Consider the following 12,199-nt stretch of genomic DNA (forward strand, 5'->3'; position numbering starts at 1 on the left):
CTGCCTCTGTGGACTGGCCTGTCCTGGACATCTCATAGAAATGGGATCGCGCACTGTGTGGCCTTTTGTGCCTGGAGTCTCTCACTGAGTGGCCCATCCTCAGAGTTCATCCACTCCGTGGCCTGCGTCAGAGCCTTGCTCCATTTCATGGCTGAGTCGCGTTCTGCTGTGTGTGGTGCCGGGCGACCTGCTCCCCTGCTGATGGGCGCTCATGTGGCCTCCTCTCTGGCTATTGGGAGTCGTGCTGCTGTGGACATTGGTGTGCAGGTGTTGGTGTGGACGTTGGTGTGCAGGTGTTGGTGTGGACGTTGGTGTGCAGGTGCTGGTGTGGACGTTGGTGTGCAGGTGTTGGTGTGGGTGTTGGTGTGGATGTTGGTGTGCAGGTGTTGGTGTGGGTGTTGGTGTGCAGGTGCTGGTGTGGGTGTTGGTGTGGGTGTTGGTGTGCAGGTGCTGGTGTGGATGTTGGTGTGGGTGTTGGTGTGCACGTATTGGTGTGCAGGTGTTGGTGTGGATGTTGGTGTGGACATTGGTGTGCAGGTGTTGGTGTGGGTGTTGGTGTGGACGTTGGCGTGCAGGTGTTGGTGTGGGTGTTGGTGTGCAGGTGTTGGTGTGGACATTGGTGTGCAGGTGCTGGTGTGGATGTTGGTGTGCAGGTGCTGGTGTGGACGTTGGTGTGCGGGTGTTGGTGTGCGTGTTGGTGTGCAGGTGTGGGTGTTGGTGTTGGTGTGCAGGTGTTGGTGTGGATGTTGGTGTGGGTGTTGGTGTGCACGTATTGGTGTGCAGGTGTTGGTGTGCAGGTATTGGTGTGGATGTTGGTGTGCAGGTGTTGGTGTGCGGGTGTTGGTGTGGGTGTTCGTGTGGGGGTGTTGGTGTACAGGTGTTTGTGTGGACGTTGGTGTGCAGGTGTTGGCGTGGATGTTGGTGTGCAGGTGTTGGTGTGGGTGTTGGTGTGCAGGTGGTGTGCAGGTGTGGGTGTTGGTGTGGGTGTTGGTGTGCAGGTATTGGTGTGGACAGTGGTGTGCAGGTGCTGGTGTGGACGTTGGTGTGCAGGTGCTGCTGTGGACGGTGTGCAGATGTTGGTGTGGACGTTGGTGTGCAGGTGTCGGTGTGGGTGTGCAGGTGTTGGTGTGCAGGTGTTAGTGTGCAGGTGTTGGTGTGGATGTTGGTGTGGGTGTTGGTGTGCAGGTGTTAGTGTGCAGGTGTTAGTGTGCAGGTGTTGGTGTGGATGTTGGTGTGCAGGTGCTGCTGTGGACGGTGTGCAGGTGTTGGTGTGGACGTTGGTGTGCAGGTGTCGGTGTGGGTGTTGGTGTGCAGGTGTTGGTGTGGATGTTGGTGTGCAGGTGTTAGTGTGCAGGTGTTAGTGTGCAGGTGTTGGTGTGGATGTTGGTGTGCAGGTGTTGGTGTGGATGTTGGTGTGGGTGTTGGTGTGCAGGTGTTGGTGTGGATATTGGTGTGCAGGTGTTAGTGTGCAGGTGTTGTTGATGTTGGTGTGGGTGTTGGTGTACAGGTGTTGGTATGCAGATGGTGTAGATGTTGGTGTGCAGGTGTTGGTGTGGGTGTTGGTGTGCAGGTGTTGGTGTGTAGGTGTTGGTGTGCAGGTGCTGCTGTGGACATGCGTTTTTGTTTCCCTTGGGCCGACACATGGGTGTGGAATCGCGGGTCCAAGGGTACATTCTGTTTAGCCTTCTCAGGAATCGCCTGCCCGTCTCCACGGCGGCTGCACCCTTCAACATTCCCACCAGCCGTGCATGAGGGCTGCCTCTGGTCTTGGAAAAGACTCTCGGAATAGTTGCTCACTTTCTCCATTTCGACCCTGGAGCCGTCGCTTGGTGCCCAGAGGAAGCCAGGCCGCGGGCGCTGGGGGAAGGGGGTCCCACTGCAGCTGCAAGTCGGCCTCTCCTCCTGCCTGCTTCCCGTGCCTCGGCTGTTGGCTTATTTGAGTATTGAATCGTAATGGTTTCTTCCTCCTAAATAGAATGCTAGGTTTCCTTGTTCAGGCCTCGTAACTTTTCCTGACCTGTAAAAAAGCACACCTTGAACACTTCGCTTTCTGTCTGTGCACACGGATAGGTGTCAGCTGGGGGCTGATAGAAAACATCCCTGACTGGCCGGGTGTGGTGGCTCACGCCTGTCATACCAGCACTTTGGGAGGCTGAGGCAGGCGGATCACCTGAGGTCAGGAGTTCAAGACCAGCCTGGTTAACATGGTGAAACTCCGTCTCAACTAAAAATACAAAAATTAGCCGGACGTGGTGGCGTGTGCCTACAATCCCAGCTACTCGGGGGCTGAGGCAGGAGAATTGCTTGAACCTGGGGGCAGAGGTTGCAGTGAGCTGAGATCGCACCACTGCACTCCACCTGGGCGACAGAGTGAAACTGTCTCAAAAAAAAAAAAAAAAGAAAGAAAACACCCCTGGCTGCAGGCTTCGGGCGGCCCTGTGTCCTCCAGCTCTTGGGGTGGGGCCACTCTGACATCATGTGCTGTTTTGGGGAGTGTCATGACCAGGAGGGCATCTTTTGTTTTTTCTTTTAATTAAAACAAATACTAGGCTGGGCATGGCAGCTCATGCCTGTAACCCCAGCACTTTGGGAGGCCAAGGCGGGTGGCCTTGATTGCTTGAGGCCAGAAGTTCAAGACCAGCCTGGGCAGCATGGTGAGACCTGGTCTCTACAAAACAAATACAGAAAGTACTGGGTGTGGTGGCATGTACCTGTGGGGCGGGAGGATGGCTTGAGCCCGGGAGTTCCAGGCTGCAGTGAGCTGTGATTGTGCCACCGCACTCCAGCCTGGGCGATACAGCAAGACCCTGTTTCAAAAAATAAAATAAAAAACAAACACTGAAGGAAAAGAGTAGATAGAGTGCAGGCCTGGCACAGGTTTTTTTTTTTTTTTTTTTTGAGACAGTCTCGCTCTGTTGCCAGACTGGAGTGCAGTGGCGTGATCTTGGCTCACTGGAACCTCTGCCCCAGGTTCAAGCAATTTTCCTGCCTCAGCCTCCCGAGTAGCTGGGATTACAGGAGCGTGCCACCATGCCCGGCTAATTTTTGTATTTTTTTAGTAGAGACAGGGTTTCACGGTGTTGGCCAGGATGGTCTTGATCTGTTGACCTCGTGATCTGCCTGCCTCGTCCTCCCAAAGTGTTGGGATTACAGGCGTGAGCCACCATATCCAGCCAGATTTTTAATTTAAGAGACTTGGCACGCATTTTTTGTTTGCCTCTGTCTGCTTTCCGTAGGCCCCCAAGCAGGGGCAATGTGTGATCGTCCGTTTGTTTTCTCCTCTGCAGTTTGGGGGTCCTTGGGTAGAAGGACTGAGCATTGAGCTTGGATCAAACTGTTGGTTTTATGGACAGAGTCAAGTGGCCCGGAGGTGGTGACTTGGGCCATGTTCCTTGTGAGGGTTTTGTCTGTGGCTCATTCATTCAGCACAGGCGGGCCCTGTGGCCAGGTGCTGATAGTCCTATGTTCCCTCTGAGAGTGTGGCCCTGGTCCCTCATCTCCTGGGGATCAGTGGTAGGGCCAGGCCTGGCCCCAGGTGCTCTGGGTCTTGTGCCTGTCCTTCCTCACACCACCTCTCTTGGGTACGTAGGGCACAGGGCACAGGACCTCCGCCCGAGGGCCACCGTGCTGAGGTGTGGCTCACATCTCGTGGCTTCATCTTGAGGCTGGTCCGTCTGCTTGTCTCACCACACTTAGGCCTGAGTGTCTGAAGAAGTAATGAGCTGCAAACCTCATGACCTGGAAATCCCACCTGTCAGAGCCCAGGCCTCAGGAGGAGGCAACTGAGGACATTGGGAGTGCCAGCAACTGGAGCCCACTTCCACCTGCCTCACTTAGGCCACTGGCCACCCCCACGGATGGTCCCGGGAGTTAGCTCTGTGACCATGCGCGGCTGTTCCTGCTCCACCTCTTGGAGTGCCGCCTCTGTCTGTTGGTGTTGCAGGGGAGCTGGGTTGGGAGAGCTCACTCCCTTGTCTGATTTTCTGGAAACTGTGCTCCTGTCTGAGTGAGCGCAGGCAGAGGTGCTCAGTTTACCCGAGGTGTGCCGGGCAGGAGTGCTCTCCAGGTGGGGGGGCTTGGAGGGATGTGGGGGTTGGTACTTTTTTTTTTTGAAGTTTTAATTTGTAGTTTTTATGGGTACAAGGTATGCTTATTTCTTTGCATGGTACATTTCCCACATGGCAGTCGTGGTGGACTGAATGATGGTCCCCATGGATGTCCACATCTTAATCCCTGGAACCCATGAATATATTACCTTAAATGACAAAAGGGACTTTTCGCGGGTGGGACTGAGTGAAGGACCCTGAGCTGGGAGATGACCCTGGATGATCTGGGGAGCCCGATGTCCTCACCGGGTCCTCATGAGAGGAGGCAGGAGGGTGAGAGTCAGAGAGAGGCTGGAAGAGGCTGTGCTGTGGCTGCGGAGGTGGAGGAAGGGCCTTGAGCTGAGGGAACCTGGCACGCGCTGGTGCTCTCTGGAGTAGGACGAAGCAGAGAACGTTCTCGTGCCAAGGTTTTCTCTTTCCTGCCTGAGGGCCCTTTATGTAGATCAGACCAGAGACAAGTGAATCCCGGTCTTGCCAGGGGAGGCATTTGGAGCTGCTCGTGGGACGTGGTGATGCGGTGCCAGGCCACATGCCCGGGGCTGGGGCCGAGTGGCGTTCTCGTGCTGCCTCTGTGGCCAGGTTTCACTTGGGAACCTGGCTGCATCGCGGGTTCCTCCTGGGCCTTCTGGTGGCTTGGGGCTCCTCTGTCCTCGGTCCCTGCTGGGAACCGTGCTTTGGCAGCAGGAACCAGCGAGATGGCAGCACAGGGGCTGGAGGCCGGCTGGGACTCACTGGGGCCGCATGGGGCTTCACCTGATGCCCAGCCCTCCTGGGACAGGGACCAGTGGGAGCAGGAGGTGGGACAAGAGGACGAGGGCTCGAGGGAGCCCCCACACTTCCTACCCACAGAGGAGGGCCTGATACTTTTCAAAAACCATGCACTGTCTTTTTGAATTTTTTTTTTTTTTTTTTTTTTTTTGAGACAGGGTCTCACTCTGTCCCTGGCTGGAGTACAGTGGTGCAGTCTGGGCTCACTGCAGCCTCGATCTCCTGTGCTCAAGGAATCCTCCTGCCTCAGCCTCTAAGTAGCTGGGTGTGCACCACCACGCCTGGCTGATTTTTAAATTTTTTGTAGAGATGGGGTCTCGCTATGTTCAGGCTCATCCTGAACATCTAGCCCCAAGTGATCACCCACCTTGGCCTCCCACAGTGCTGGGGTCACAGGCGTGAGCCCCTGCCCCTGGCCTTCTTATTTTTAAACCGATTCTTTGTCATCAGTTTCTGCGTGTGGCCGCTGAGAGCCATCACCTGGCTGTTTCTTGGGTGTCCCTTGCGCCCACACCCCTGCATCCTGCCCCACCTTCAAGTTCTTCCATCCCAGAGTGGACTCTGGGGTCAAGGAGAGTCCTCAGATCTTGGGGACATGGGCAGTTGTGGGGCCTGGGGTCATGTGGACAGGATGCCGGCCCAGCCCCAGCAGTGCCAGTGCAGGTGGGGTGAAGGCCTGATGGGGTCAGCCAGACTGTCCCCACCTGAAGCCCCCTGCCAAGCCCCTGCATCTGAAGACTGAAGAGTGAGGGTGGCAGCCCGGGAGGGTATCCTTGGGCCCAGTGTGTCAGCGATCAGGAGAGCAGCCCAGGCTGGAGCGTGCGGCCCTGCTCAGCCGGGCCGGAAGCGTCCCTCACTTGTTCCTCCCCCAGGTTGCAGAGGAGCTGTCCAGGACAGCCGGGGTGGGGCCGCCCATAAGATGCAGCTGCTGGTCCCATGTCATGGTCACAGCAGGAGGGCTGAGGAGCCAGGCCTGGCCCGTGGTGTGCAGGGTCCCTGGAACAAACAGCTGCCCTAAAAAAAAAAAAGGCTTTAAGGCCAGGTGCAGTGGCTCATGCCTGTAATTCCAGCACTTTGGGAGGCCGAGGTGGGTGGATCATGAGGTCAGGAGTTGGAGACCAGCCTGACCAACATGGTGAAACCTCGTCCTACTAAAAATACAAAAATTAGCTGGACATGGTGGGGAGTGCCTGTAATCCCAGCTACTCAGAAGGCTCAAGCAGGAGAATTGCTTGAACCCGGGAAACGGAGGTTTCAGTGAGCTGAGATCGCGCCACTGCACTTCAGCCTGACTGACAAGAGCGAGACTCCGTCTCAAAAAACAAAAACAAAAAGGCTTTATTGAGATACAATTTGCGAACCATACAAGTCACCCATTTGAAGCATGTCATTCAGTGGTGTGTAGTTTACTCAGAAGGCTGCTCTTGGGCCTCAAAATGAGTAGAGGGGAGAAAGGGACCCTTTTTTTGTTGTTAGAGATTTTGAGAGCTGGGTTGGGTTAAGCGGCTTTCATGGTAAGCTGGAGGCCCAAGCCTGTCTTGAGCCCCGAATAAAGAAGAAACCTAGGGGTGGGGCGTGGTGGCTCACGCCTATAATCCCAGCACTTTGGGAGGCCGAGATGAGGGGATCGCTAAGCCCAGGAGTTTGCCCTGGTCTCCCAGCTTCCTCTGCGGTGCCCCAGCCAGGAGCAGCTGTAGACTCTGTGGACCGTATGTGAAATGAACCCACAGGGTTCCCGTGCTAAAACCATGGAGAGTCTTCAGGTGGGGCCAGCCGGGCCTTAAACTGTGTATCTAACTGAGTGGGGCCTGGGGTACCCATGGGGGTTGCATGCCCTGGAAGCCAGCCCTGCCTGCCATCCACTTCCCACAGCCAGAGAGAGCTTTCTAGAAATTTCGGTTGGATCGTGTCTCCTTGCTCTGAACCACCTGTCGGCTTCCCGTCCAACCCCACAGGAGGGCAGGCTCCTTCCAGCCCAGCCCCCAGGGCCCACCCTGGTCTAGCCTCGATCCTGCCGCCTCCTCTGCGCTCCCTGCCATCCGGCCTCTGGGGCCTTAGCTCTTCCCTGGCTTCGCTGGGTCCTTCCCTTTGCCTAGACTTTCCTCCTGCCCTGGACCGCCCAGAACTTGCACCCCTGCGTGTTTGACAATCACTTCCAGACGCAGCCCCGCTGCCACCCAGACCTCTCTGGTCCCAAACCAACTTCATTTGTCTTTTTCCTTTTTTTTAAATTTATTTATTTATTTTATTTTACTTATTAATTTTTTTTGAGACAGAGTTTCACTCGTTGCCCAGGCTGGAGTGCAATGGCACTATCTCGGCTCAATGCAACCTCTGCCTCCTGGGTTCAGGCAGTTGTCCTGCCTCAGTCTCCCAAGTAGCTGGGATTACAGGCGCATGCCACCACACCCAGCTAATGTTTGTATTTTTAGTAGAGATGGGAGTTTCACCATGTTGGCCATGTCTTGAGCCCCGAATAAAGAAGAAACCCAGGGACAGGGCGTGGTGGCTCACACCTATAATCCCAGCACTTTGGGAGGCCGAGGTGAGGATCGCTAAGCCCAGGAGTTTGCCCTGGTCTCCCAGCTTCCTCTGCGGTCCCCCAGCCAGGAGCAGCTGTAGAATCTGCAGACCCTATGTGTGCGGCCTCCCAAAGTGCTGGGATTACAGGCGTGAGCCACCACGCCCAGCCTTAAAATGTTTTTGAGATGATCTGGCTCTGTTGCCTGGGCTGGAGTGTAGTGATGTGATCACAGCTCACTGCGGCCTCAAACTCCTGAGCTCAATCGAGTGTCCCACTTCAGCCTCCCAGAGCACTGGGACCACAGGTGTGTGCTGCAGTGTCTGGCCTTCATTTGTCTTCGAAACTCTTGCTCGCCCCTCTGTGACGTTGTTAATTAGTAGTCTTCCAGATTGGGCCCCGTCTCGTCCCAGAACCGAAACTCTGCCTGGCACGTGGTGGGGCCTGCACATTTGCTCAGCGGAGGAGGATTCTGGGGCCCTGGGTTCCCGAGGCTGGCAAGTTGGCTCAGAGCTGCCCTTGGGATGGGTCAGGGTGGGGTAGGCTGGGGGCAGCACAGAGTGGGCACAAGGCAGTTTTGTGGTTTTGAAATTGAGTTTGTATCAAGAGCTTTACTGCTTTTGTAAAAACTTACTGGCATGGTACCAAGAGAAATTCAAACAATAGTTGGTAATAAAATCCCTCCCTACCCCTGCCCTGGTGTCCCCATAGGAGCTGACTGCCGCCCCCTTTCTGCAGCATTAGCTATTGTCTAGAATCTTCTACAAGGATGGGGCAGGGCGGTGGGAGCAGGGCCCGAGGGTCCCAGTTGTTGGGAACTATGTTGGCCTGGCTCCAGCCAGCTCACACCACGGGGCAGCCGAGGCCTCCTTTGGCCCAGCTGAGGCCTTCACGGCACCCCGAGGCCCAGAGTCCCGTGAGCGGGAGACAGAGAAAGGGGTCTCCAAGGAAGGGTGGGCCTGGCAGCAGCACTATGAGCAGCGGCAGGTGCAGGGTGCCACCAGGCAGAGGCCGGCAGAGGCAGAAGCCGGTACGGTTGCCCTGCGTCTGTTTCCACATCTGTGTATTTGTGCCAGGGCTGCTAAACATGCACAGCAGGCACTGTGGCGCCCACCCCAAATCACAGGAAGGATGTGTCTCTCTGTGACCGTGAAGCCCACCACCACTCCATAGTGTTGGCTCACACCCGGCTGTTTCCCACGCCTCCCCGCGTGTCCCCAAGACAAAAGGTCTGGGATGAAGCTGCCGTTTGCATGGCTGGGGATGTCTCCTTGTCCTCTCTCAGCTGAGAAGAGTGCCAGTTTCCTCTCTTCTTTTGCGAGTTCAGGAGAGCATTATTCTTTCTTCTTTCCATCATTCTTCCTCCCTCCCTTTCTTCTCTCTCTTTTCAGTTTTTTTTTTTTTTTTTGAGACGGAGTTTCTCGTCACCCAGGCTGGAGTGCAATGGCGCAATCTTGGCTCACTGCAACCTCTGCCTCCCGGGTTCAAGCAATTCTCTTGCCTCAGCCTCCTGAGTAGCTGGGGTTACAGGCACCCACCACCACACCCGGCTAATTTTCATATTTTTGAGTAGAGATGGGGTTCATGGTGCTGGCCAGGCTGGTCACGAACTCCTGACCTCAGGCAGTCTGCCCACCTTGGCCTCACAAAGTGCTGGGATTACAGGCGTGAGCCACCGCACCCAGCCTTCTTTTTAATTTTTTTGCTAAGAGCTTTATTAGATATAATTTGCACACTCATTTGTTCACCCATTTAAAGTGTCCAGTTCCACAGTTTTCAGTATATTCAAAAACTTGTGCAACTATCATCACAATTTGATTTTTATTCATTTACTTTTTAGAGACAGGGTCTTGCTCTGTTGCCCAGAGGCTGGAGTGCAGGGGTGCAGTCATAGCTCACTGCAGCCTCGAAATCCTGGCCTCAAGTGATACTCCTGCCTCAGCTTTTTGAGTAGTTGGCAGGCACGCACCACCATGCCTGGCTAATTTTTTATTTTAATTTTTAGTAGAGATGGGGTCTCCCTACGTTGCCTAGGCTGGTCTCGAACTCCTGGGCTAGAGCACCCCTCCCGCCTCAGCCCCCCAGAGTTCTGGGATTACAGGTGCGAGCCACTGCACTGGCCACAGTCAGTGGAGAACATTGGCATCCCCTACAGAGAAGCCCTGTAGCCTGGGGTGTAACACACGGCCTTTTGTGTCTGGCTTCTCTCACTGTGATGTCCTCAAGGTTCCTCCATGTGGCGCCTGTGTCAGAGCCTCGTTGCTTTTCATGGCTGTGTCGTATTCCACCGCATGGATGGGCCATGTTGTGTTGATTCATTCTTCTGTTGGTGGACACCTGGGTCGTTTCCACCTTTGGCTGTTGGGAATTGTGCTTCTGCAGACGTGGTGTACACGTTTCTGTGTGGATGGATGTTTTCATTTCTCTTGGGCAGATACGCAGGAGTGGAATTGCTGGGTCAAGTGTGATTTATGTGTGACATTTCCAGGAGCTGCCAAGCTGTCTTGCAGAGCAGCTGTCCCACGTCACCGTCCTGCCAGCCTGTGTTCGAGGGCCCCAATTTCTCCACATCCCTGCCCACAGTGTCACCGTCTGTCATTCTGATTCTGCCATCCTGGTGGGAGTGAGGTGGTGGCTCATTGTGGTTCTGATTTGCATTTCCCTGGTGCTGAGTGCTGCTGGGCACCTTTTCACGTGCTTGTTGGCCATTTGTCTACTTTGGAGAGCTGTCTGCCCAAGTCCTTGGCCTGTTTTTTGCTGGTTTTTTAGACATGGTTTCGCTCCTGTAGCCCAGGCTGGAAGGCTGGAGTGCAGTGGTGCAATCTTGGCTCACTGCAACCTCTGCCTTCCCAGCTCAAGCGATTCTCCTGCCTCACCCTCCCAAGTAGCTGGGAGTACAGGTGCAGACCGCCACACCTGGCTAATTTTTGTATTTTTTATAGAGACGGAGTCTCACTATGTTGCTTATGCTGATGTCAAACTCCTGGCCTCAAGTGATCTTCCTGCCTTGGCCTCCCAAAGTGCTGGGATTACAGGCATGAGCCACCGCGCCCACCAGCCTTGGCCCATTTTTACTGGGCTGTTTGTCTTTGCCTCTGAGTTGAGAGCCCCATTCCTTGGCGTGGCGCCGTTGTGAGCATGTTGCTGTTGCCGGGCAGCTCCTCTGGCTCTTCCAGGGTGTCTGATGCCCCCGAGTCATCCTGTGTCCTCTGTCTGCCACATTCCTGGTGACCTGGAAGGTCAGTCACAGGACTGCATTTCAGTAAATTCCCTCTTCCCTGTTTAGCTGTGTTGCACGTGCGTCAAGGTTATGGCGCGTGGGGATTGTGGACCATTTTAGTTTTCTCTGTATGATTTACTTCCTAAGCATGTCATTTCCAAAGGCACAAATGGCTGGGCATGATGGCTCATCCCTGTAATGCCAATACTTTGGGAGGCCAAGGCGGGAGGATCATTTCAGGCCAGGCGTTTATTAGCAGCCAGGGCAACATGGCAAGACCCCGTCTCTACAAAAAGTACAAAAATTAGCCAGGTGTGGTGGCACACACCTGTGGTCCCAGCTAGTTGGGAGGCTGAGGCGGGAGGATGGCTTGAGCCCAGGAGGTTGAGGCTGCAGTGAACCGTGACCGTGCCACTGCACTCCAGCCTGGGCGACAGAGCCAGATGCTGTCTCAAAAAACAATAGTTTCTTAAAAAGTGCACCAAGTTGCCCCTAGGGGGCGGTGGTGGGTGAAGTGCCTGAGTCCCTGTGCTGAGAGTGGCTCCCGGTGTCACGGCTCCACCTTCCAGATGGAAGGGCTGTCTGGGTCTCCCCAGCGTGGGTTTTGATGCGTAACCTGCCATGGGCTTTTGTCACCTGACACTGCAGGGTGTGCTGCTGGCAGCTGTGGCCACGTGCTTTCCAGACGAGCCCCCGCAACCCCACGAGGTGTGGGGAGCCCCCCTTTTTATTATTTATTTATTTATCTATTTTTTGAGACAGGATCACTGTCACCCAGGCTGGAGTGCAGTGGCGCAATCACAGCTCACTGAAGCCTCGACCTCCCAGGCTAGAGTGATCCTCCTGCCTCTACCTCCCATGTAGCTGGGACCACAGGTGTGTGCCACCGTGCCTAGCGCTTTCCTGTCGTACAGAGCACAAGTTTGAGGCATCCCTTGGGCCGTCCAGCCCTGCCCCAGGCCCTGTCCTTCCTGGGCCCAGCTGGTCTGGGGGACATGAGAGTGTGGCAGGCCCCATACTGCATAGGTCACCCTGTGGCCAGTCCTGTGGGGCAGGTGGGCTTTGATGACCTGGAGGTCAGAGCCTGCAGAGGGGGGTGGGCCAGCCCCTCACATGACTCTTACTTGAGGGCTTCCTGGGAGCTGATGGCCCTTGCAGTGGGTTACAGGGAGGCAGGAAGAGGCCATGTGTGCACCGGCCTGCAGAGAGGCAGCCAGGGACAGGGGCTGCTGGGTGCACGAGGGTCCCAGCGCCTCCACCAGCTGCCAAAGCGCAGGGGGAGACTCATGCGGTCATGGCAGTGCCCTGGCATAGCATGCAGCCCAGCTGTGTGCCGTGTGGCCTAGGCCCACAACTGCCCCTCGTGGGCCTCTGTGCCTCCTCAATAAGCTCAGTCGACCATGTCATCATCTGTGATGCACAGAGCAGGGCCAGGGACCCGGGAAGTGCTGATGTGGGGACCACTGTGGCCACCACCGCATCTGGGCACTGTTTGTGGCAGATCCAGGGATGGCCTCAGGCCTTTGGCCCGGCCTCTGAGGGCTGGGGACCAGTAGGAGGCCTGAGGTGACCGCGTTCTGCCAC

The 12,199-nt window shown here is 55.7% G+C and overlaps 1 protein-coding gene across 16 annotated transcripts in view, besides 1 other annotated feature; it reads left to right on the forward strand.

Moving 5' to 3' along the window:
• Positions 1-12,199, forward strand: part of KDM4B (lysine demethylase 4B) — a 184,486-nt gene that overhangs the window by 49,646 nt on the left and 122,641 nt on the right. The gene's annotated exons all lie outside the window — the stretch shown is intronic.
• Positions 7,760-8,259: an enhancer, noted in NCBI's record as "H3K4me1 hESC enhancer chr19:5026529-5027028 (GRCh37/hg19 assembly coordinates)". NCBI's record gives its function as "activates a minimal SCP1, AML or CMV promoter by ChIP-STARR-seq in naive and primed H9 embryonic stem cells {active_cell/tissue: H9 hESC(naive and primed)}" and the evidence as "EXISTENCE:reporter gene assay evidence [ECO:0000049][PMID:30033119]".

The sequence above is a fragment of the Homo sapiens genome, chromosome 19 (genome assembly GCF_000001405.40).
Source record: "Homo sapiens chromosome 19, GRCh38.p14 Primary Assembly".
In the NCBI taxonomy this organism is placed as follows: Eukaryota; Metazoa; Chordata; class Mammalia; order Primates; family Hominidae; genus Homo; species Homo sapiens.